The sequence below is a fragment of the Homo sapiens genome, chromosome 3, assembly GCF_000001405.40.
Source record: "Homo sapiens chromosome 3, GRCh38.p14 Primary Assembly".
NCBI lineage: Eukaryota > Metazoa > Chordata > Mammalia > Primates > Hominidae > Homo > Homo sapiens.
The window spans coordinates 109,671,595-109,697,957 of NC_000003.12; the positions used below are offsets into that span (position 1 = coordinate 109,671,595).

The 26,363-nt window shown below is 37.5% G+C and overlaps 1 long non-coding RNA gene across 2 annotated transcripts in view; it reads left to right on the forward strand.

The window, feature by feature from the left end:
• The window catches only part of LOC124906267 (uncharacterized), a 188,134-nt gene that overhangs the window by 23,571 nt on the left and 138,200 nt on the right, over positions 1-26,363 (forward strand). Inside the window, exons 2-3 of one of the 2 annotated variants that reach the window (XR_007096001.1) lie at positions 8,560-8,601; positions 11,065-12,256. This is a non-coding gene — a long non-coding RNA (uncharacterized LOC124906267). Of the gene's footprint in view, positions 1-8,559; positions 8,602-11,064; positions 12,257-26,363 lie in introns of those variants that run through there. The other variant, XR_007096002.1, reaches the window with a different exon arrangement.

Consider the following 26,363-nt stretch of genomic DNA (forward strand, 5'->3'; position numbering starts at 1 on the left):
GTTGCAGTTTAATTAAATTCCTAACCTACGTAGTGGGTTTCTGTAGCTACAGTTCTGTGTCGACTGTTTGTTAGAAATGGCTGTTTCAGAATATACTAACTTTTAATTCTAAGAAATCCCAGATGCATTGAAATTTAATTTGCCCTAACTAATAAAGAAAAACATCTAAGGCTATTATAAATTATCTACAGTTTAATTTTTAAAACTGATGTAATAATGTTAACAGAAAATTTATTCAAATTTGTATCCACTCTCCTCGGTTCTATTGCCTTTGCACAAAATCTTGCCCTAGTAATTTCAGGTATCCTAGAAATAAAAGGGATGAATAACCTCAGCATCGTCATTCCCTTTATATCACAACTTTTTAACATATTCTGTTGTATTTTTGTACATGGATATGGCAAAGGTATATGTACCCGTTGATCAAGGAATCGATTATTTATGACAATCTTCAAAAACCTTCAATTTTCTTGGAAGGTGATAGATTACTTGGCTAGCTCGAATGTAGAATAATTTCTTTTATTATTTCCTTTTTGAAACAGGATCTCACAGATTTTAGACATGGTCTCACTCTGGTGCCCAGGCTGGAGTGCAGTGGCACAATCCTGGCTCACTGCAGACTCCACCTCCTAGGCTCAAGCAATCCTCCCATCTCAGCCTCCTGAGTTGCTAGGACTACAGGTGTTCATCGCCATGCCCAGCTAACTTTTTTGATTTTATTATTATTTTTTTTGGAGAGATGAGGTCTCACTATGTTGTTCAAGCTAGTCTCAAATTCCTGGCTTCAAGCTACCCCCTCCTGTCTAGGCCTACCAAAGCCCTGGGACTACAGACATGAGCTACTGCATCTGGCCAAAAGTAGAATAATTTCTAATAAAATTATCTAAAATACCTAAAGCTGGTATATTTCAACATAAAACTGTATGTTTTAGGTTGCTAATAACAGAAATCTTGGGAATTTTTAAAAACATTTTTGTCTTAATAGTCCCATTAACTGACACCAGTCATTGACAATGAAGTTACCTGTATAAACATTTGGGTGTGATATTTAGGTAATGAAGCACTAGTGTTTACATGACACCATTTTAACTGACTTTGCTGCTGTTTATTTACTTCCTAGTGGAGGTGGTAGTGCCATTTTATTCATCATATATTTTCTATAAGTGCATATGTTCTCCCCCCTCCTTTCCATGCCCCTCTACATTTCTCCTGCTGATGACATTCATATCTAGAACACTTCTGCCTACAATGGTCATGGCTTTCCTTTAGAACTGGCTCAGTTCTTCAGATTTTGATTTCTTATACAATATTCGTTCAACATGTTAACTTTATCAGAGACTTTCTGAGAAAATGTTTCCAACTATCCAGAGATGGCTGGGTGGGGGAAATTTGTATCTGTTTCTGTTGTAATCCTTGAAGAATATACACCTTGATGGCTAGGACTTGCTTTCACTCGTGTGGATCTTTGATCCCTGGCACATAGAGCTCAGTATATAGTGTGCTCAATAAATTTGGCATTCCTGCTATTGCTTAAACATGCAAGCACATTTCCAGCTCAGGGCCTGTGCTCTTGAAATTCTCTCTTCTTAAAATGTTTTATTCTTAAGTATTCTCATGGCTCATATCCTCACTTTATTCAGGTTTCTGCTAAAATGTCGTCTCCCCAGAGGGGCCTGTTCTAAACGACTAAACCTTAAAATCGTCGATAGGATGCACTCACACATAACTCACACAATCTCCCTTGCTTCTTTTTTTTTTTTTCCTCGATAGGATTTACCATTATCTTAAAAATTTATTTGTTCACTTATAGTCTCCCTCATTAGAATGTAAGCCATCACAGGGACAGGAACTTTGTATATTGTCAATATGTAGAACAAACCTGGAATATTGTAGCCATTTGATAAATATTAGTTAAATGAATGATTAAATTATTTGATTAATCTCTGCTCTCCTCCAAAACATACACACACACGCATAGATTCAACTATACATTTAATGAAAATTAAGGACGTCATCTTTCTTATTTATCATTGCATTCTAGCAGTCAGTGCTTAAAAATATTTGTTGAATGTCTAAATGAGGAAGTGTTATGTGTGTGACTATCAGTTGCTTTGCCGGCATGTTTTGTGCACTGTTTGTCATTGACAGCCTGTCTGATAGTTTCTTTTAGTCTTTACTATGTTAAAAGAAAATAATTCCCTTACCTTGTATTTATTTTTGTGTTTATATTTGACATAAAATTTTAGAGAGTAGGAACTTTGCAGGAGAGCCACACTTGATTCTCTGGGAGAATTTAATGAGTAATTTAGTTCACATTTTCTTCCTCTGCTTTATTAGACCTTGAAAATGATAATGAGATTTAACTTCGAATTACAGTTTATGTACAGCCCTCAAATCTCAGCCCCTAATCTCTCCACCCAGCCTTATCCCCTCTCCCAGTCTGGTGCAAATTTGGATTCTTACAAAACGTTATTTGCTAGAGGCAAGTAGCCCAGTTTTCCGCTCCTTGGACCCTTCTCCAATGCATCTATTTCCAGGGTCGGCTGCTGGAGGGTGAATAATTCTCTGTCATAATTCAAAGAACAGGAAGCCCTGAAGCAATCCAGGTGGCTAAAGAGGCACATGAAAAGAGACAATATAGTAGAATAAAGAAGAGGAAAGTCCATGAATTTTTTACTTACCGTGCTTTTTTCTTATTCCCAATTCTCTACTTAGCATCCTACGACTGCATTTTAAATAATATTGAGGTTTTGGGTGACTACAAACTAAAATTGTAAACTTTTCCAAACTGAGATTTTCTACTGTACTCTTGACTATTGTTATTCAAATTTAACAATTTTCAGGTAGATAGGTGCAGCGAACCACCATGGCACACATTTACCTATGTAACAAATCTGCACACATCCTGCACATGTACCCTAAAACTTAAAATAAAAATAAATAGGTCAGAAAAAAATAAAACACTGTTCTTTTTTTCCTTTCCTTTTTTTTTTTTTTGAGACGGAGTTTCGCTCTGTCGCTCAGGCTGGAGTGCAGTGGCGCGATCTCGGTTCTCTGCAAGCTCCATCTCCCGGGTTCACGCCATTCTCCAGTCTCAGCCTCCTGAGTAGCTGGGAATACAGGCGCCACTACCACGCCCGGCTAATTTTTTGTATTTTTAGTAGAGACGGGGTTTCACCGTGTTAGCCAGGATGGTCTTGATCTCCTGACCTCGTGATCTGCCCACCTCGACCTCCCAAAGTGCTGGGATTACAGGCGTGAGCCACCGCGCCTGGCAACAATTTTCAATTGTGTATACTTGTACCCTTACGATCTTAGGTGTAAATATTTCCCTCAGCAAACCTCTCCTAAATAAGGGTCTGTGGGGACAATATATTGGAGGGGAGGAAGAGAATAGTAAGTACATCTAATTGGTCTGAAATAGTAACTATCATTCTGAAAAAATGAACAATATATTCCTTTATTAGCCAAATTAGACATGTTCAGTTAGTGACCTATCATATTTGCCAATTTGAAGATGATGTTCTAATGTTCTATAAAACTTTTTCAAAGTTAAGGACTAAATATTATAGACCTCATAAAAATAGCCATATTTAATCTCTAATATAGCTAATATATTTACAGTCAACCTAAAGGTTCTTATTATGTTTATGTCAGATAATTTCAAAAACCTGACTAGTTTGTTAATGACAATTTTAAAGTTAGGTGTTTGTAATGAAGACACAGCTTTTATAATACAGGTCATAGATTAATACTTAAACACATCTATCCTACTTAATGTGTGAAATATAAATAATAGTAGAAAAAGACCCAGAATATGTTAATGTTAGTGTCTTTCTCCATGACTAAAAACTTATCTGAGTTACTGAAAGTCATACAGAATTTTCTTGAGAATTTTGAGACTTTTCTCATTAGTACATTCTTTGATTTTTCTTAGAAAAAGCCATTTTTTGAATGCCTCCAACAGAATGGCTTGGGCTCTAATAACCAGGTGTATGAAATATGCTCTGCAAGATATGCATGTGTGTGTGTTTTTGTTGTACACATACATATACATGTAATTCTTTGAAAATTATTCTTATTTAATTATTAATTCTATTTAAAATTTTTTATAATTCCGGTTACAGTTCTTTATTTTGTGCCTGGATTTGATGGCTATTTTTAGTTTTTCATCATTTAATCCTGTTCAGTTGAAGAATCCTCTCTACTCCTTCTTAGCTGAGTGGACTCTACTTGCCATTTATCTTCACAAATATCTGCTTTGGCGTCCATCCTATCTAGTTCTCAGTTCACACATGTCACCCCTGACATCCCTCACTTCTGTTTGTGTGGCTTCATGAGTGGTCTGTGTGGTCATGGGATCCCATGCTGGGTGGAGGCACTGAAATCACCATGGTGCTGACACCCAACTGCCTAGATTCTCTATTCATGTTTTTTGTCTGCAATCTTGGTGACACTCCAGGGCTTTGCCTAGAAACAGGACACAGAGCCCATAAATGGGAGCCCCATGTCACCCTTCCACACCTGTTCAGCCCTCATCTCTGATACCTACGCCCTCACTATGTCTCCTCCATCTCTCTCTCCCTTCTTTAGTGGGGGAGTCTTTTCTGTCTAGGGACTCAAGGCACCACTCTCTTTTATTATTTCTCTCATTTCTGAGGTTAGGAGTAGTCTCAGTTCACCAGGTCATCTTAGGACTTTAGGCTTTTGGAAAGCAAAGCTAGGAAGATACTTTATTTCCCCCCATTTGACTCTGCCATAGCCCTCACAAAATATAGCTATTCTCAGTCAGTATGGAAGAAGACAGGGCACCTGAGCTAGTGTGGCATGGGGAAGCAAAATGGAAAAAATGCATGATAGTGTTTTACACATGACTTAATATTTCAAATACGTTACTCTACTCAAAGGTACTAATGATGTGAATTTCCTGGATTTGACACTGACTTAACCCAGTAGGCATCCCACCATATAAAAAGTCTGGCAGTACAGGATTCAACAATATACTGCAAGCAATTATTTTACAGATGAAGATCAATAAAATGAGCAGTACTCAGGGAAGAATTGGGGGATATTACAGCATAAATCAATAAAAATTTTAGATAACAGAGTAAATTTTCTGCTAAACTGTCCTACAAACTTTGGCCTTTATTTATTCTGGGCTTCTCATTTGGCCATACATTTTTATAAAAAATTATAAAAGTAAGTTTATTTTCTAAACAATAATCATGTATCATATTTCCCTTCTTTCCAGGTGGTATTGGAATAGCAGCAGGCATTGTTAAGGTCTAACCAAGGGGAAGTTGAGTTGGGGATACACTGGACATTTTGGATTATAGGGGCAGGGCCAGAAGTCTTAGGACAATTGGAGTGTGTTCACAGTGCCTGGTGTAGGAATTATGAGGGTAGTGGGGAAGAAACAAGGTTTGAAGCATAAAACGCCAGAAGTGAATCTATGGGAAACAATTTTTTTCCACCAGACATAAAAAATTACCGGGGAAGCTGGTGGTGTGATCCAATCTTAGTCTAAAGGCCTGAGAACTTGAGGAGCTGATGTTAGAATTATGAGTCCATTGTCAAAGGCCTGAGAACCGAAGGGGTCACTGATATTAGGTCCTGGAGTCCAAAGGCCTGAGAATCTAGAATTCTCGTGTCCAAGGTCAGGAAAAGATGGATGCTCCAGCTCCAGAAGAGAGAAAGTAAATTTTTCCTTTTTTTGCCTTTGTCTTCTATCTGGGCCCTCAAGGGATTGAATGACATCTACTCACATTGATGAGGATAGATCTTTTTTGCTGAAGTTAGCTATTCAAATGCTAATCTTTTCCAAAAACACCTTCATAGATATATCCAAAAAGAGTGTTTTACCAACTCTCAGGGCGTCCCTTAGCCCAGTCAAGTTGGCACCAATAATTAATCATCACATCAGGTTTGTAAAATTTATAATTTATTTTCCCACTCTACGTAAGTATTAGTGCATATATCTAATTCAATCTAATTCATTTGTTAGTATTCATTGATTTTATGATTTATTTTTCTTTAACTCAAGACCATTAAAATTGTGTAAATTTCAGTCCCTAAGTTATTGAATCTGCTCTGATTAACTGACATTTTATATATTAAATTGTTCATTTTTAAATTTTTTGTCACCTCCCACATAACAAGCTCTATGTGTGTAGAAACTGTTTTGTCCTCAACTGTATCACCAGCACATGGAACCATGACAGCACATAGAAGGCACTTGATTAATATTTATTAAATGAATGAGTAAACAGTGCTACCTTGAGGATGGGTTATCAGTATTTCTTCAGTTATTTTGATAATTCTTATTGCTGGCTTGTGCTGTGAATTTGCAATGGTTTGCTGAATAAATGCTCTATCAAACATAATAAAGGCATTTTGTGCTATTTTCAAAAATTACCATTTAGCATGTGCTTCTTAACAGAACTAAATGAGAGGAAACACAGTGCTGCCATTAACTCAACTATTTCTTCCCATTAATCATTTTATGCAGACAAAACAATGTACTCATCAACCTGTTTAGTACTCAAATCAATCAAAATCAAATTGGGTAGAAATTAGCCAAGGCCACCTATTTCTTTAGGTATTTATTGTGTACCTGTTACATATCTAGCATAGAGCCAGGCATTTGGGGAGATAGTCAATAACTATATAGGACTTTATTTCTTCTTTAAGGGCAGCAAAAACGTTCTCTATTTCCTATATACTAGATGCTTAGTGTGATAGATTTTTGACTTGTTAGTTTGACTGGGCTGAACTATAGTCCCCAGGATTCCCTATATGTGTCTGGCTAGGGCAGGTTACAAAGGTTATTCTCTCATGAGAAAATAGAGAGGCAATGGTCATTTTGTAACGTACATATAACTTCTTCCAGTTATTAAAATACGAATCTAGACACTGCTGTGAAGATATTTTGCAGATGTGATTAAAGTTTCTAATCAGACTTTAAGTTAATGAAGAAGAAGATTATTCAGGGTGAATCTGAATTATTTGGAAAGCTTTTAGAAGAGGACTTAGGCTTTTCCTAAGTCAAGGACTCCAGATAGCTGCTGGGTCTGTAGTTGTTCTCCCTTCTCTGTGGATCTTTCTTTCTGACCATTACCTGTGAACAGGAAGCTTCAGTTCATGCCTTGTGTGGTTCCAGCCAGCTTGTCTTCTGCCTATGGACTTTGAACTTACTTGGCCAGTCCCTGCAATTGTACTAGCCAGTTCCTTGTAATAAATATATCTCCTTCTAGTTCTGTTTCTCTGGTTGGACCTGATTAATACACCAGTAAATATTTTTGACAAGACATATTCTCTCTCTCAAGGAGTTCACAATCTCACAGGTGAACTGGTTCATCAGATGAAAAGCATAGATAATAGCTCAAGATCATCTTTGTTATAAGCCAAAATGTGTGACACAGAAAGTAAGCACTGTAGCATGGCAGAATAATGAAAGGTCAATATGGCTAAGAATTAGTGGAAAAGCTTTTACAAATAAAATAGAATTTAAATTTGTTCATGAAGGAAGAATAAAATTTAAAAAGTCAGAGAAAAGAGAGAAAACCATTGTCTTTTGTAAATAGAATTAGCATAGTTGTTGAGATAAAAATTAGTATCTTGAATACAGAGAATAGCAAAGTAATTTAACTTTTGACTAACACCTCACTTAACCCTTCACCTTTGTTGTCCTTCAACAAGCAACTAGAGAATCTAATAATGTCTTTAATTTATTGTGAATCAGCACCAAGAAAATGCCAAGTATTCAATTCTAATGATCTTTAAAGATCATTAATAGCAATGTTACTTTTTGTCTTATGTGTTCAAACTAAAGTCAAGAATCCTGAGTAAAGTGGGGTCTTTTTTAAAAGAAAAAGAAATAAAGGATTAAGAGCATAGCAATGAAAATAGAGATCACATCCTCTGAGCCTAAAAAATAGTCTTTAGCTTCAAACTCAGCCTTCAACTCCCCACCATCGAACCACTGATGAGTGGGTTAATATTTGACCCATCAGTGAGCCTCCAAGGCTCAGCTTTAAACTCTTCTGATTTCTCTTCTGACTGGCTGGTGCCCAGGTCATCCTGGTTGTTAAATATTTTAAAGGGCATTTCCTCAGTTACTAATTTTACATGTATTATCTATCGTTCAGAACTGCTGAAGTCTGTCATCTCTGATGTTTTTTTCTGATTTCTTTTGTATTGGGGGTTTATGCCTTAGTGATCCTAATACTGTGATTTCAGTAGAGTGCCAGGAGGAAGAAGAGATAAATACATTTAGTCAGCATATTTCATTTAACTGTAGATTTGTTCAGTAACCTTGAAGCATGCCAAAAGCATCCTCTAGAATAGGGTTTATATAAAAGTGTACTGTGGAATGTTGTTAGCAAGCGCTGCAGAACATACATAAGCGTTCCTTCATCCAGAAAGTGTGGAAATGTTGGATTAAATAAATACACGTTTTGTTTTGTTTTCTGCTAGCTCTTTACTGCCTTTTCTGTGCTATTGTTCATTATTAATTTCCAAGCCAGGGTTAAAATATCGCACGTTTCTTTTTTCTTACAGAATTCTTCCAACTTTTAAATGGAACACAAGTGTCCTTTTAAGGTAATAACACCTTATTGTGAGCACTATTTTAGAAAGTGATGCACAAATTGGGAGCTCTTCCGCAGGATCACCTGAGGTCCATTGTGCACCCAACACTCTTTTAGATGGGAACCAAAGTCTCCTCTACATTTCAGCAAAGAAACTGGGAACTGTATATCCCAGAATCCCCTTCCCTGAGTAGTCCTGGGTTTGAATTTGCCAATGAAAGAAACTTGGAAGAAAATAATTATTCTCTGGATATGGTTGCAGCCAGATGTGTGGTCAGAGGTGAGTGCTTGAGAACCACCAGTTTAGTGGTTTTAGTCCGAGTTTGTTCATAAGACCTTTCTAGAGACACCAGAGAATTGCAGCAACTTCCAGATAAGACCTTCAACCAACCACTTCAGTGCTTTAGGCTGAGATGACTTCTTTGACTTTCAGAGGCAGGACCCCTAAATGTTGGTAGAAGCTTCTCTATCTCTGTTCTTCTGTTTTCCAACAGAAGTATAAACCCCTAATTCTTTATTATGTGCATCCTTAAGATCCATGATACACAGGGTGGTCTCTGTTTTCCTGATGAACCACAACTGACTCAATACTAATGGTGTCAGTGAGACAGTCAGAAATATTTATGTAGTTACCTATTCAAATATTGGAATAACTACTTATAATTCATGAAATTTACTCAATTTCAGGAAGCCAATGTTTAGAGGATTTTTTCTATATCCTTTTCCAATTTACCCAAAGGTGTCAGCATTACTGAAGTCACAAAGACCTTGGCCAGTGTATGTAAATTGAACTTTGAAAAAAAATTAGCATTATAATATGCTACAGATGGTATATCAAACTCAAATAAACTAATAATATTGAATTAGCAAGCTTTCTTATCGGAAAAATACCTCTTGAACATTGGTAGAGCATAAAGACTAACTTGAAATTAAAGGGCAAAAACCAACACAAGCAAAATGATATTAAAAAAAAAAAGCCCAGCTGGACATGGTGGTTCATGCCTGTAATCCCAACACTTTGGGAGGCCAAGACCAGAGGATTGCTTGAGCACATGAGTTCGAGACCAGCCTGGACAACAAAGTGGGATCCTGTCTATAAAAAAATAAAAAAATTAGCCAGGCATGGTGGCACACATCTGTAGTCCCAGCTACTCAGAAGGCTGAGGTAGGAGGACTGCTTGAGTCCAGGAGTTTGAGGCTGCAGTGAGCGGTGATTGTGCCACTGCACTCCATGAGACCCTGTCTCAAAAAAAAAAAAAAAAAAAGAAAGAAGAGAAAGCAGTCCAACAGCTTTCTGCTTTCTAGATCAGGATATATAAATAAGTACTCTCATATCTCTATCTCTGTTCACTCCAAATATGCATTCATTCAGCTTCAACCTGAAGGGATATTCATCTTTGAACACTGTGTACAGTAGTCTCCCCTTATCTGTGGGGAAACAGTCCAAAATCCCTAGTGAATTCTTGAATCCGTGGATAGTACCAAACTCTATATATGCGATGTCTTTTTCTATACATACATAAACTATGATAAAATTTAATTTACGAATTAGGCCTGTTAAGATATTAACAAAAATAACTAATAATAAAATAGAACAATTAATATACTGTAATAAAAGTTATGTGAATGTGGTCTGTTTCTCCCTCTCAAAATACATTATTGTACTGTAATCACCTGTTTCCAGACTCTGGTTGACCATGAGTAGTTGAAACTATAAAAAACAAAACCCTGGATATAAGGGGAGAACTACTAATGTATTACAATCACCTTGTTCTTCAATAGATAGATTTATTCTAGAGACTAGAACTCTATGCATTATGACCTCCTACAGAGCCAGGAGAAGGCCTAGTTTATTTTCTTTGCACAGGAACTTGAACAATACAGAGTTAAGTACTGAAAATGTTTCCCTGAATTGATTTTGGAGGTCAGATATTGACTTGTCTTTTCTGCTCTGTGCATATCTTGCTTTCTGCTCCATTTGTGACATGGAAGTTCAAGTAGACACATCTGAAGACCAGTTAAATCTAAGTTAAATATCCTCTCACCTAGGCCAAAGACAGTTGGACAGAACAATAGAGCTGCTCATTCAGGGACTGATCTTTCAGTTCTTTTTTGAATAAGTAATGTGTTTTCAGAGCTTCCCAATCTGTGAAAGATCATAAAGAATCACACAGTTCATTTACATGTCAGTCAATCAATGATAATGTATTAGGCACTTCCTATGTGCCTAGCATTGTAAAAGTTGCCTATTATATTTCAGTGTCAATACATAACAATATGTTTTGGCCCTTATATGGAATAAAATATATTCTTTTTCTAAAAGAGAGTCAAAATGATATTGTACTTAGTGAAATTTTAATACATATCAGGTCATCATGAATTATTGAACAGGTTTCCTTTAATCTAGCATGAGCAAGAACAGGTTCAATATCACACATCATTCCTTTTTATAAAAATATGTGATCTTATTTTCAAGGATGTTCTGGGAGATATCAGAGTCTCAAAAAGCAGATGACATACTGTAGCCGAAATGCCACCAACCTGAAAACAGAAGAGAACTTTGCAAGGCCAGAATTCAGTTGTTTGTTCAATTTTTCAAGCAAAGAAACCATTTAGTTCTGAAAAGCAACCAGGGAGAAATTTCTTGAAAAGTAGTCTGAAAAGAGACTGCAATTTCCCCAAGTTCTCGGTCAGCATAGGGAGGCTGTTAACAAGATCATCAGACTCCTAAACCTCTAGTAATCAACGTTTTCTAATAAAACCCAGGATTTGTAAGCCTCATATTAACAAATTGCATCTGACTTAAGCTGGATGGGCCTGACTTTAAATGATTTCATTACTTGATCTTTCTGTTCTTCCATTGACTCACTACCAAAGACTTAAAGACAAAACAAAAGGCCAGGTGTGGTGGCTTATGCCTGAAATCCCAGCACTTTTGGAGGCTGAGGTGGGTAGATTGCATGAACTCAAGAGTTGGAGACCATCCTGGGCAACACGGTGAGATCCTGTGTCTACAAATAATACAAAAATCAGCCAGGCCTGGTGGCATTTGCCTGTAGTCCCAGCTATTGGGGAGACTGAGGTGGGAGGATAGCTTCATCCTGGGAGGTCAAGACTGCAGTGAGCCATGATTGCGCCACTGCACTCCAGCCGAGGTGACAGAGCGAGACCTCATCTCTTAAAAAAAATAAAAGAAAGAGAAAAGACAAAAGATTATCAAAACTTGTGTTTTTCTTTTGTTGACCTATGGTGTAGTTTTAAGCAAATTGAAGAGGAGGGAGAAACTTATAAAACAGACACTACATCTTATTAAAGAAATATTTTAAGAAACATTATATTTAAGTGGCTTCAGCTAATTAATTACTTGTTTTGCTGATTTGGATGGAGAAATTAGCAAAAATAAATCTTGAAAATGGAGTTTTAGTAGGCTTCCATTTATAAAAATTCAATTTTACCCCACTTGAAATAATCTATTTGTTGCATCAGGTTACATTATTGCTGGCTGATATGATTACTAGTGGGCATATACTGTACATGTTATTGCATCTCTGCACCTGGTTTGTTGGTAAATACATGTTGCTGATAACAGCAGCTAAATCTCAGAACACAGACAAGTCTGAGCATATCTGTTACTGAAACTGAGTAAACAATTCAAAATTCATGTTCTTTTAAAATATATCACCTTAAAAACATAAAGGTCACTGCATATCCAGGATGAATAAGTTTAAGAAGAGTGTCAGGATGGTGGCATATTTAGATGTATCACTGTGATGTTTCACTGTGGTATTTTATGATGTGGCATATTAGCCAATGTGTTCATGGTCAAATGATTCAGAGCAGATTTTAAACCAAATTTTAATATTGACTTTTAGCATATGCATAATAAAGTGAGTAAAGCACACTATTCTTAAGTGTCAGCTCAAGGAACTTTTACACTCATATCCAAATAACTACCACTTAGATTGAGATGTAACATTTCCAACAGCCAGAAATTTCCTTCATGCCCCTCCTCAGTCAAAACCCAGTGACTTCAAGGAAACTAAGACTCTAGATTTTGTTATAATCAATTAGTTTTGCCTGTTTTTGAACTTCATATAAATGGAATTATAGAGTATGTACTCTTTTTAACCTGGCTTCATTTACTTAACATAAAGTCTGAAAGTTTGAGCCATATGATTGCAGGTAGTATCCATTTGTTCTTTTTTTCCTCTGATGTAGTATAGATGCTCCTTGACTTATGATGGGGTATGTCCTGATAAACCTGTTGTAAGTTGACAATATAGTTAGTCAAAATGCATTTAATATACGTAACCTACTGAACATCATAGCTTAGGCTCACTTCCTTAGACGTGTTCAGAGAACTTACATTAGCCTATACTTGGGCTCAAAAATCTAACACTACTTGATAATAAAGTGTTGACTATCTCATGTAATTTATTGGACACTGTACTGAAAGTGAAAAGCAGAATGGTTGTATGGGTACTTAAAGTATGGTTTCCATACCACCTTAAAGTTCAAAAATCATAAGTCAGCCAAACCATTGTTAAGTCAGGAACCATCTGTATTCCATTGTATGAATTTTCACAGTTTATGTATCCATTCTCCTACTGACGAGTATTTCAGTTGTTTCTAGTTGGGAGAGTGATATGATTTGGCTCTGTGTCCCCACCCAAATCTCATCTCAAATTGTAGTTCCCAAGTGTCACAGGAGGGACCTGTAATCCCCATGTGTTGAGGGAGGGAGGTGATTGGATCATGGGGGCAGTTTCGCCCATGCTGTTCTCATACTAGTGAATGAGTTCTCATAAGATCTGATGGTTTTATAAGTGTTTGGAAGTTCTTCCTTCATCCCCCTCTCTTGCCTGCCACCATGTAAGATGTGCCTGCTTCTCCCACTGAAAGGAGTTAGTTAGCTTGCCTTAGGTAGATAACAAGGAAAGGGTCCTGGAGAGCCCCCGGCCCATGGGTCAGTTCCTCATCCCCACATAACATAAAAAGCAGCCTGGGAAAAAATTCAAGCTGCAGGCACCGATAAGGGAACTAGCACAGGGTGTTGTGCCTGGAGACATGCCCACAGCTGCACAGATAGAAAAAACCTCCGGCCCATTTGGCTGAAAACTTGCACAAACCTCCAGCTCACTCAGACAAGGGAACAAGGCCTGGCATAGAAATGCCTTTGTCCTGTGTATAGTCAGTGGGCTCCCAGGAAAAGTTTCTTCTCCTTTTGTGGGCATGGGCATGGTGGACTCTGGGGGGTTCCAGTGGGCACTCTACTTTCCTTTATTAGGACTATAAGTCCAGCTCCTGTGACTCATCACTTCAGCCTCTGATTGGTCCCGGGCCAGGCTTTCACTTCAGCTTCTAACAGGTCCTGGGCCAAGCTGAGCAGCCTCTATGAATCATCATTTCAGCTCCTGGTTGGTACCAGGCCAAGCTGAGTCATACATTCACTAAGACAGCTCACTGATTAAGCTCATTCCTTCCCCTTCCCAGACCATAAAAACCCTGGACCCCAGACTCATAGTGGGTCTTCCTATTTGGGACCCCCTCTTCTGGAAGAGAGCTTTCTTCTTTCAGCTGTAAACTTTTGTTCCAACCTCACCTTTGTGTCTGTGCTCCTCTGGGCATTATCTAAGACAACGAAAGACTGTTACACTTCTGCCATAATTGTAAGTTTCCTGAGGCTCTCCAGATGTGCAGAACTGTGAGTCAATTAAACCTCTTTTCTTTATAGATTACCTAGTCTTAGGGAAGTCCTTTATAGCAGTGTGAGAATGGACTAATACAGAGATACAGTTAGTAAAGCTGCTATGAACATTCTTGTACAGATCATTTGGTGAAATCAGAGAAGATTTTAGCTTTCAGTAATGCTTACTTAGACATGATGTTTATAATTATTCCTCTTTCATAAATAAGCCCAGGGGAATTGTGAGCTATGTGGCATCCTTCAGTACAAGGTTCTTCCAGCCCTACAGCTGTACTTAGACTATCAAGAGTATCGTTTGTCCAATTCCAGAAAGAATAATTCACGTTGTATTCTGGGATCCAGTGGGCACAGTGACACCAATGGATGGTGGACTCCTGGCCATCATTTGATCAGTACCTCCAAGTGATGGAGAGAAACAGACACTGATGACATCACTTGAGCTTCATGCCATGACTGAAGCTATGCTTAAAGCCAAATATACTCCTGGACTTTGCAGTTTTCTAAACCAATAGATTTAAATGATTATTATCGATATAACCGTTATTATGTACACCATCATTCTGGGATAAAGGAACAGGTAGCAACTCCCAGATCCATGATTTATTGTAACTTTGAGCTCGCTTAGCCTATGCTATGCACAATTGTAATTTATGAGCATGGGATGATAATAATCTATTTGGATCTGAAATTTACTTTGTGTATTGTGCACTGCTATGCAGTTGTTAATTTTTTAGCATCACACTTTTATTTTTTATCTTCCTTTTCTTAAAAATTGACATTTCAAATAGAAACCTTAAGCAACATTGATAACTATTTTCAACATATCTTCTACCAGATATTTTCTTTATTAACGTAGTTAGTTTATGTATTTAGATAATCAATATTTTAAAAATCTCTCAAGGCTTGTTATAAACTACAAATAAAGTAGGGAAGGGACTCACTTACTAGTCAACTGCAAAAAGGTGCCAAGCCTTCTGTATAACTTATTGCTCTTACTGTTCTTACTTGTCTGCTTGGCTTTGCAAACAAGTGAGAGGTCTTCTATTAATTATGCTCTTAATGTTGTTACAATAATATTTTGAGAACTGTACAGATGTTCTCTGGGAAATGGTTAAAAAACCAGTGTCCTTATAGAGGTACAAGGTAATTCTAACCCAGTATGGTAAATGATAATGAGTCATTTTTCATAATTAAACCAGGAATAAAAAGATTAAGCCCAATGACTTCAGATGACAGCAATTTTAAATTATTTCATAGCAATTTGTAGTTTGTTTTCATTTAAAAATAAATCTAGTGATTTCTGGCTGGGCGCGGTGGCTCACGCCTTTGGGAGGCCAGCACTTTGGGAGGCCGAGGTGGGCAGATCACCTGAGGTTGGGAGTTCGAGACCAGCCTGACCAACATGGAGAAACCCCATCTCTACTAAAAATACAAAATTAGCTGGGCGTGATAGTGCATGCCTGTAATCCCAGCTACCTGGGAGGCTGAGGCAGGAGAATCACTTGAAACTGGGAGGCAGAGGTTGTGGTGAGTCGAGATCATGCCATCGCACTCCAGCCTGGGCAACAAGAGTGAGACTCTGTCTCAAAAATAAATAAATAAATAAATAAATAAATAAATAAATAAAAAAAATAAAATAAAAATAATAAATAAATTTAGTGATCTTTGTATTTTGCCAGTAAAGATTATTTAATTGTAAGTGATGTGAATATATTTCACATAGCTAATGCATAATAATAGTAATCTCAATAATCAAGGTTGAGCAGAAAGAGCATGGAGAAATATTCTGGTTTCTCCTCCCTCTAGCTTCCCACCTTCTGCAGTGCCTCTAACTAGCTAAGCCACAAGCTAGATGATGTGGGAGCCTATTGTAGTCAATCTCCCATCCATGTAAAGCAGAGGCTAATAACAACAAGGAATGCATTGGAAAGCAAGGCTCAGGAATGGCATGTTAGCCAGAATGAAAACATTATCAGCCTTAGACTAAATGCCTTAAATCAAAGCTGAAGCAAATGAAAAGTAGTTCAGAGGCTGAAATAGATATTCTCTTCTTTCTTAAGTAGTACTCATTCTGGGGTTATTTGTTCAAGTCTGTGACACAGTAAGGCTCTTTCCACTTTCCACAAGATTTGTAACCTAGAAAATCACCTAAGCATTGGTGATCCGGACTTCTTACTCTCACAGGAGTTGGGGAAAGTAAGTACTGAAATAGTTTGGAAGCACTTATAGTAAAAGCAGAATATATAACTGAGGCACTATAACTTTTTCTAGTACCTGGTTTATTGAAGAACACTGCTATTTATCTGGAAATAAATGCTAAAGCTTAAACTTGTTTCTTAGAAACTGCAGGTATTTTGATCTATGAAACTGTAACATGCCATATGGAAATAAAGCTTATTAAAGCTTAATTCTGTAAGGAAAACAACTGGCCATTCTTTGCTTATCTAATAACTGGGAACTAATAGCCAAATAAGATCTACTAGACCTTTGTATACCTATAAAGCAGTAGTCAGGCCCTTCAATTTGGGCATTATGAATAAGATAAAAGGATTTGTGAAGATGGCTTAAATTCATGCTGTATATTAAAATTATATATTTTAAAAATATATTTACGTATAATTAGTTGGTCTTGATGTCAGTTTCCAGTTTCTGTTCTATAAGAAACTATTACAATCTCCAAATCGTGAGAACTACTTCTATTGGAGTTTCTTTAAAGTATCCCCCATTGTTCAGCTTGATGATGGAATGTTCATTTCTTACAACAAGGCCTTTATTACTACTATTAATTTAATAACTCTGGTTTCACTGAATATTCTTTAAATATAATAGTTTACGTTTTTTTTTTTCAACTTTTATTTTAGATTCAGGGGGTACATGTGCAGGTTTGTTAACTGGGTATATTGTGTGATGCTGAGATACAAATGATCCCATCACCCAGGTACTGAGCATAATACCCAACAGTTTTTCAGCCCTTGCTTGCTCCTTTCCTTCCTTCCCTCTCTAGTAGTCCTCAGTGTCTATTGATGCCATCTTTATGTCTGTGAGTATCTAATGTTTAGCTCCCATTTATAAGTGAGAACATATGGTGTTTGGTTTTCTATTCTTTCATTAATTCACTTAAGATAATGGCCTCCAGCTGCATCCATGTTGCTGCAAAGGACATGCTTTCATTATTTTATGGCTGTGTAGTATTTTATGGTATATACATGCCACATTTTTTTTAACCCAATCCACCATTGATGGGCACCTATGTTGGTTTCATGTCTTTGCTATTCTGTATAGTGGTGCAATGAACATACAGTTGCATATGTCTTTTTGGTAGAATGATTTGTTTTCTTTTGGATATATACCGAGGATGGGGTTTACTGGGTCAAATGGTAGTTCTCTTTTTTTTTTTTTTTTTTTTTGAGGCGGAGTCTCGCTCTGTCGCCCAGGCTGGAGTGCAGTGGCGGGATCTCGGCTCACTGCAAGCTCCGCCTCCCGGGTTCACGCCATTCTCCTGCCTCAGCCTCCCAAGTAGCTGGGACTACAGGCGCCCGCCACTACGCCCGGCTAATTTTTTGTATTTTTAGTAGAGACGGGGTTTCACCGTTTTAGCCGGGATGGTCTCGATCTCCTGACCTCGTGATCCGCCCGCCTCGGCCTCCCAAAGTGCTGGGATTACAGGCGTGAGCCACCGCACCCGGCCGGTAGTTCTCTTTTAAGTTCTTTGAGAAACCTTCAAACTTTTTACAGTGATTGAACTAACTTACATTCCCACCAACAGTGTCTAAACAATCCCCTTTCTCCACAGCCTCATCAACATCTGTTGTTTTTTGACTTTTTGATTTAGACAGTATGACTAGTGTGATATGGTATCTCTTTGTGGTTTCGAGTTGCATTTCTCTGATGATTAGTGATGTGAATAAGTTTTTGATATGTTTGTTGGCTGCTTGTATGTTGTCTTTTGAGAAGTATCTGTTCATGTCTTTTGCACAGTTCTTTTTTTCTTTTTTTTCTTTTTTTTTTTTGAGACAGAGTTTTGCTCTTGTTTCCCAGGCTGGAGTGCAATGGCGTGATCTTGGCTCACCGCAACCTCTGCCTCCCAGGTTCAAGTGATTCTCCTGCCTCGGCCTCCCAAGTAGCTGGGATTACAGGTGCCCGCCACCACACCCAGCTAATTTTGTATTTTTAGTGGAGACAGGGTTTCTCCATGTTGGTCAGGCTGGTCTTGAACTCCTGACCTCAGGTGATCTGCCCGCCTCACCCTTCCAAAGTGCTGGGATTATAGGCATGAGCCACCATGCTCAGCCTTGTGCATTTCTTAATGGAGTTATTTATTTATTATTTTTTGTTGAATTAAGTTCTGTATAGGTTTCGAATGTTAGACCTTTGTTGGATGTATAGTTTGTGAATATTTTGTCCCATTTTATAGGTTGTCTGTTTACTCTGTTGATAGTTTCTTTTGCTGTGCAGAAGTGCTTTAGTTTAATTGGGTCCCATTGGAAATTTTTGTTTTCGTTGAAATTGCTTTTGTAGACTTAGTCATAAATCCTTTCTCAAGGCTGATGTCCAGAATGATATTTTCCAGGTTTTCTTGTAGGATTCTTGTAGTTTGAGATCTTACATTTAAATCTTTAATCCATCTTTAGCTATTTTTTTGTATATGGTGAAAGTAGGGGTCCAGTTCCATTCTTTTGCATATGGCTAGCCAGCTATCCCAGCACCATTTAATAGGGAATTCTTTCCCCCCTGCTATTTTTGTTGACTTTGTTGAAGATCAGATGGCTGCAGGTGTGCAGCTTTATTTTTGGGTTCTCTATTCTCTTCCACTGGTCTATGTGTCTATTTATGTACCAGTACCATGCTGTTTTGGTTACTGTACTCTTATAGTATAGTTTAAAGTCAGATAACGTGATGCCTCTGGCTTTGTTCTTTTTGTTTACAATTGTTTTTACTATTCAGGTTCCTTTTTGGTTCCATATAAATTTTAGAATAGTTTTTCCAGTTTTGTGAAAAATGATGTTGGTAGTTTGATAGGAATAACATTGAATCTGTACATTGCTTTGGGCTGTATGGCCATTTTAACAATATTGATTCCTCCAATCCGTAAGCATGGAATGTTTTTCCATTTGTTTGTGTTATTTATAATTTCTTTTAGCAGTGTTTTGTAGTTCTCCTTGTAGAGATCTTTCACCTCCTTGGTTAGATGCATTCCTAGATTTTTGTTTTTGTTTTTTCGTGTGTGTGTGTGTGTGAGTGCATTTGTGGGGGCCTATTGGAAATGAGATTATGTTCTTGATTTGGCTCTCAGCATGAACATTGTTGGTGTATAGAAATGCTACTGATTTTTGTGCATTGATTTTGTATTCGGAAACTTTACTGAAGTTATTTATTATTTCCAGAAGCCTTTTGGCAGAGTCTTCAATGTTTTCTATGCGTAGAATCATATTGTCTATAAAGAGAGATAGGTTGACTTCTTTTCCTATTGGGATGCCTTTTCTTTCTTTCTTTTGCCTGATCTCTCTGGCTAGCACTTCCAGTACTATGTTGAATAGGAGTGGTGAGAGTGGACATCCTTTTCTTGTTTCATTTCTCAAGGGGAATGCTTACATATTGCCCATTCAATGTGATGTTGGCTGTGGGTTTGTCATAGATAGTTCTTCTTATTTTGAAGCATGTTCTTTTGATGCCTAATTTTTTGAGGGTTTTTTCATGAAGGGATGTTGGATTTTATTGAAAGCTTTTCCTGCATCTATTGTGATGATCATATGGTTTTTGTTTTTAATTCTACTTACGTGGTGAATCTCATTCATAAATTTGTGTATGTTAAATCAACCTTATCAGCCTTATCAGCATCCCAGAAATGAAGCCTACTCGATCATGGTGAATTCACTTTTTGATGTGCCGTTGAATTCGGTTTGCTAGTATTTTGCTGAGGATTTTTGCATCTATGTTCATCACAAATATTGGCCTGCAGTTTTCTTTCTTCATTGTGTCTGCTAGGTTTTGGTATCAGGGTGAAGCTGGCTTTATAGAATGAATAAGGAAGTCCCTCCTCCTCAATTTTTTTTTGAATAGTTTAGTAGAATTGGTACTGGCTCTTCTTTGTACATTTAGTAGAATTTGGTTGTGAATCCATCTGGTCCAGGGCTTTCTTTGGCTGGTAGGTTTTTTATTACTGTTTCAATTTTGGAACTCGATATTGGTCTGTTTAATGTTTTGATTTCTTTGTGATTCGATCTTGGGAGATTGTGTGTTTCCAAGAATTTATTGATTTCCTCTAGATTTTCTAGTTTGTGGGTGTAGAGGTGTTTATAATAGTCTCTGGAGATTTTTTGTATTTCTGTGGGATTGATTTTAATGTTACCTTTGTCATTTCTTATTGTGCTTATTTGGATCTTCTCTTTTTTTTATTGTTAATCTAGCTAGTGGTCTATCAACTATTTTTATTTTGTCAAACAACCAGCTTTTGCTTTTGTTGATTCTTTGTGGCTTATTGGGTCTCAGTTTTGTTCAGTTCCACTCACATTTTAGTTATTTCTTTTCCTCTTCTGACTTTGGTGTTACTTTGTTCTTGTTTTTGTATTTCTTCTAGATGTGATGTTAGATTGTTAATTTGAGATCTTCCCAACTTTGAGGTAGGCATTTAGTGCTATGAACTTTCCTCTTAACACTGTTTTTGCTGCATCCCAGAGATTTTGGTATATTGTGTCTCTGATTTCATTTATTTCAAGAATTTTTTAAATTTCTGCCCTGATTTCATTGTTTACCAAAAAGTCACTCATTAACAAGTATTTAATTTCCATATAATTGTGTGGTTTTGTGAGATCTTCTTGGTATTGATTTCTATTTGTATTCTAGTGTGGTCCAATAATAGGTTGTTATGAATTTGATTTTCTTGCATTTATTGAGACTTATTTTATGGCTTATCATGTGGCTAATCTTGGAATATGTTCCATGTGCAGATGAGAAGATGTATATTCTGTGGTTGATGGGTGGAGTATTCTGTAGATGTCTATTACGTTCAATTAGTCAAGTGTTGACTTTGCATACAGAATTACTTTGTTAGTTTTCTGCCTCAATGCTATGTCTAATGTTGTCAGCGGGGTGTTAAAGTCCCCCACTATTATTGCGTCTAAGTCCTTTTTTAGGTCTAAAAGTGTTGGTAGAAGAGCTGAGGCAGGACTGGCTTGTCTGTCATAATATAAAAGAGTCTTGGAAGATGCCTGGGGTCTAAGGTCTAAAACATTTCGTGGCCTTTGGAACACTAAGCTTTGTGCCAAAAGGTGGAAGACTGTCTTGCCGCAGCTCTTCTACCAATATGTCCCCCTCTTCTTTTTTGCAAAGACCCACCTTATGTACTCTTAACCTGTTTTTTCTCATTCCTTTGACTCTGCCAGACTTCATAGCCCCCATGGCCTAGTGTTAGGTCTGATCACCCCAAAATAAAAGTACTTGTTTTATGAATCTGGATGCTCCAATTTATATTTGAATGCTCCAAAATATACATGGATGCATATATATTTAGAATAGTTAAGTCTTCTTGTTGTATTTAACCCTTTATCATTTTGTAATGCCCTTCTTTGTCCTTTTTATTGTTGTTGGTTTAGTGTCTGTTTTATCTGATATAAGAATGGAGACCTCTGCTCTTTTTCATTTTCCATTTGCATGGCAGATCTTTCTTCAGTTCTCTACTTTGAGCCTATGGGTGTTGTTACATGTGAGATGCTCTTGAAAACAACAGGTGGATGAGTCTCTTTTTATCCAAGTTGGGACTATGTGCCTTTTAACCGAGGCATTTAAACCATTTACATTCAAAGTTAATACTGATATGTGAGGTTTTGATTCTATTGTGAAGTTGTTAACTGTTTGCTTTCCAGTGTCAGATGTGTGGTTGCTTTAGTAGGATCTATGGGCTATTTACTTAAGGGTGTTTTTGAAACAGGTATGCTTTTTTGTTTCCATGTTTAGAACTTCCTTAAGGATATCTTATAAGGTTGGCCTAGTGGTAAGAAATTCCTTTAGTGCTTGCTTGTCTGGATAATATTTTATTTCTCCTTTGTTCATAAAGTTTAGTTTGGCAAGCTATGAAATTCTTGGTTGGAATTTCTTTTCTGTTTATTTCATTTATTTTTTTGCTAAAAAAATAGGCCCTGATCTCTCCTGGCTTGTAAGGTTTCTGCTGAAGAAGTGTGCTGTTAGCCTGATGGGCTTCCCTTTATACATGATCTACCCTTTTTCTCCAGCTGCCTTTAAGATTTTTCCTTTAGCATTGACCTTGGACAGTTTGGTGACTATATGCCTTGATGTTTATTTTGCATAGTATCTCATAGGTGTTTTCTGGATTTCTTGTTTCTGGATGTCTGCCTCTCTAGCAAGATTAGGGAAGTTTTCTTGAATTATTCCCCCAAGTATATTTTCCAGGTTGTTGACTTTTTCTCCTCTTAGGAATGCCAGTAATTTATAGGTTTGGTTTCTTTACATAAGCTCATATTTCTCAAAGATTTGTTCATATTTTGAGTTTTTTTTTCTTTTGTCTGACTGGGTTAGTTCAAATGGTTGGTCTTCTAGCTCTGAAATTCTTTCTTTTGCTTAGTCCAGTCTATTGATAAGGTTTTCAATTGTATTTGGAAATTCCACAAGTGAGTTTTTTATTTCCAGAATCTCTGATTGATTTCTCTTTAATATGTTTATCTCTTCCTTCATTTCCTGGATTTCCTTAGAAGTTTCTTTATGTTGGTTTTTAACCTTTTCTTGGATTTCATTGAGCTTCTTTGCAATCCATGCTTTCAATCTGTCATTTTTGCTTCCATTTTGATTAGGGATAATTGCTGGAGAGCTAGTATAATTGTCTGGTGATTTCACTACACTCAGTTTTTTTTTTTTTTTTTATGGTGCTAAAATTCTTGCACTGAATCCTTCTCATCTGGAAATGCTGGCATTTTTAATTTTTGTAATTATTTTTGTGTGGGTAAGATTTTATCTTTTGTTTTCTTTCCCTATAATGTTATTATTATAATTACTTTTCATTTTCCTTTCCCTTTTCCCCCTCCTTAGGGGGGTGTGACAGTAGAGAATTCTGGGTAGGGTCCTTTTGCCTTGCTTCTATAGTCTTAGGCACTTCTGTCAGCAGGTCTTATATTCTGCACAACAGCTGTGCAGTTTGACCTACAGGCCCATAGATGGAACTTATAGGTAGGAGCCAGCTGCAGCCAATGTGGCTAAATACTTGATTCTTATTTACTGGCAGAAGGTCTCTGTTGTCATAGGCAATGAGTTGACTCATGGAATGCACGGTAGTCTGAGCTCCCTGCTCAGCTCCAGAGGGGCAGGGACCACAAAGGTCCACCCATAGGTCCCCCGATGGCAGGCACAGGCACCAGCACTTAGGGAGAATCCAGTAGGCAGCCACCAAGTGCCCAGAGAGTGACTAGACATGGAGCTGGGAAACCTCCTCAGCTCCAAGCTCACAGGGATTCAGGGGTGCCCTCAACTCCTAATCCAGGAGAATGGGTGCTCCAAATGCCTGGAGATCTACGTAAGTATGGAGCAGAGAGGGCCTCATTACATCATAATCTCAGGGGAGCAGGGTGTGGCGGTGGGACACCAAACTGATCTGAGTTGCAGTCCATTTCACCCACCGAACTAGAACTCAAATGAGTTCCAGTTCATCAAGCTGGCTCTGGCTGCAAGTCTTGCTGTCTAGGAGAAACTGCAGCTGTAGCAGCTCTCCTCCCACCCCAGGCTTGCAACTGGGAGAGCACAACTCTAGCACCTACTTCTGAGGCACTTTCTACAGTTCTGGTTGTGGAGGCCCTTACCCCACTCAAGAGCAGGTACTCCAACCTCTGGCCTGAGACTAAAATGCTTGCATGGCCGTGCTGCTGGGTAGCCATGGAATGGCTGACTTTGCATGCACTTGGATTAAAAATGGCATTACGCTATAAGTACTGGGTCTGCAAAAATGTCTGCAGCTTTTCCCAGTTTCTTTCCCTCACAGCATCTCCAAGCCTCTTCCCAAGTTAGCTCCAGGGCTTGGGAGAAACAAAGTGCTCTCTTTTGGCTTGGGTTGCTTGGATCCCCACTGTAAAGGTGAGTCATGAGGGAGACTCTGCCTCTCTCACATACTGGGGCTTCACTCACTTTTATCAGATGCACACTGTAATGGGGGCTGTTTGCCAGCATCCAGGATCTGTGGTGTCCTTCACAATTTTGATGAATTCCCATTTTCCTTCTTGAATTAAAGCTCACAGAGTTGATCTCTATGTACCATCTTGCTATTTCCAAGTGGCTGAGGTATGTGGAAAGCCTCTAATCTGCCATCTTGACAAAAACAAACAAAAACCCAAAAACCTACATTGATTTTTGACTGTTGAACTAACCTTGCATTCCTGAGATACATCCTAGTTGGTCAGAAAATACCACTCATTTTATATATTTCTGGATTTGAGGATTCAAAAGTCTAGGTTAATAAAAGATTTTGGTGTGTAATTGTTCTGTAAAGTCTTTATCAGATTTCTCTGAAAAGACTGCCACAGTCTACTTGAGTTTTCCCTTTCTATGCCAAGATCAGGAAGAATTCTCTCTGGTGCACAAGTAAAACTCACCTTGTGATTTGACCTTCCTTTGGAGATTGAAGTATTTCATCATCTTTTGTCTATTGTCTGGAAACAATTGCCACATTTATTTCTTCCTGTTTTATAGTTGTTTGCAATAGGAGGATTAATCTGGAACATGTTAGTCATGGCGAGCAGTGGATATAACTTTATAAAATAGTCTGATATATGGTAGACTGTTTTTTATTTTCAAAAACATATTGGCTCTTGTTATATACTTATTATGTTATATTTATTACTTGAATTGTACTCATTTATTCAATTAATATATACTTATCAGTCAAGGACCTATTATGTGCTATCAATAATATCAAGTATTGAATATAGAATGAAGAGTGAAAGAGGTTTGTTATTTCACTTTAAGTGATATAGATACACCCTAGAACTAGCTTGTGACAAAAGTAAGCTTTATATTTCACTGGATTTAATTAAATTTATAAAATAATTTAGGGGAAGATTAATGCCTTTGCAATATTTTTTCTTCCATTCCACAGAGATAATTTCAAATTACCTTTCCTTGAAAAATAAGTTTTATAAATCCTCTCTCTTTTCTTAAATATAGAACTGGCATATTTCATGTTTAGTTAATCCTGGGTATCTTATGGGTTTTGTTGCTATTGTCAATGTGCTGTTGTTTTTTCCTTCACCCTCTAGTGGTTTTTGCTGGTATAAAGAACAGCTATTGCCTTTTGTATGAACCATTTACTGATCTCTATAACATCTTAATAGTTTTTTCTTTGGGATTTGCCAGATAGAGCTTACTGGAACTTTATTTTCATGAAATATGCCTACAAAATACTGGTTATCACATACTGGGGCTTCACTCACTTTTATCAGATGCACACTGTAATGGGGGCTGTTTGCCAGCATCCAGGATCTGTGGTGTCCTTCACAATTTTGATGAATTCCCATTTTCCTTCTTGAATTAAAGCTCACAGAGTTGATCTCTGTGTACCATCTTGCTATTTCCAAGTGGCTGAGGTATGTGGAAAGCCTCTAATCTGCCATCTTGACAAAAACAAACAATTAATGTAGTGTCTGTATTTGTCTAATGTAAGCAGGCTGTATATGCTTTGTCTTTGCGGGGGTTGGTATTCAGTGTAATGTGGCCATGGGAAACTTAAACCTGTCTAGGAAAAACTATTACTTCCTGTTTAGAGTCAGGGTTGAAAATAGAATTTCCATCTATGCAGCATCATCGCAGACTCTGTGAAACACCAATAAACATCCTCCTGACAATAGTCCATTAGCACAGTTCTGTTTAACCATGTAGACCTCCACAGTGGTTAGGTGACATCATTTTCATTTGGCTATGACACTAGGGGAAGAAGTCATACTTTACCATAAAATATGTATTTTCTGTAAGTCAACCTGCAAACTCAAGCATCTTTAATAACATGTATTTTATTATTAAAATTTTCTTTTATTTCTCAACATAGGCTCCATCCAGTTTAAGACACTTGTAAGTGA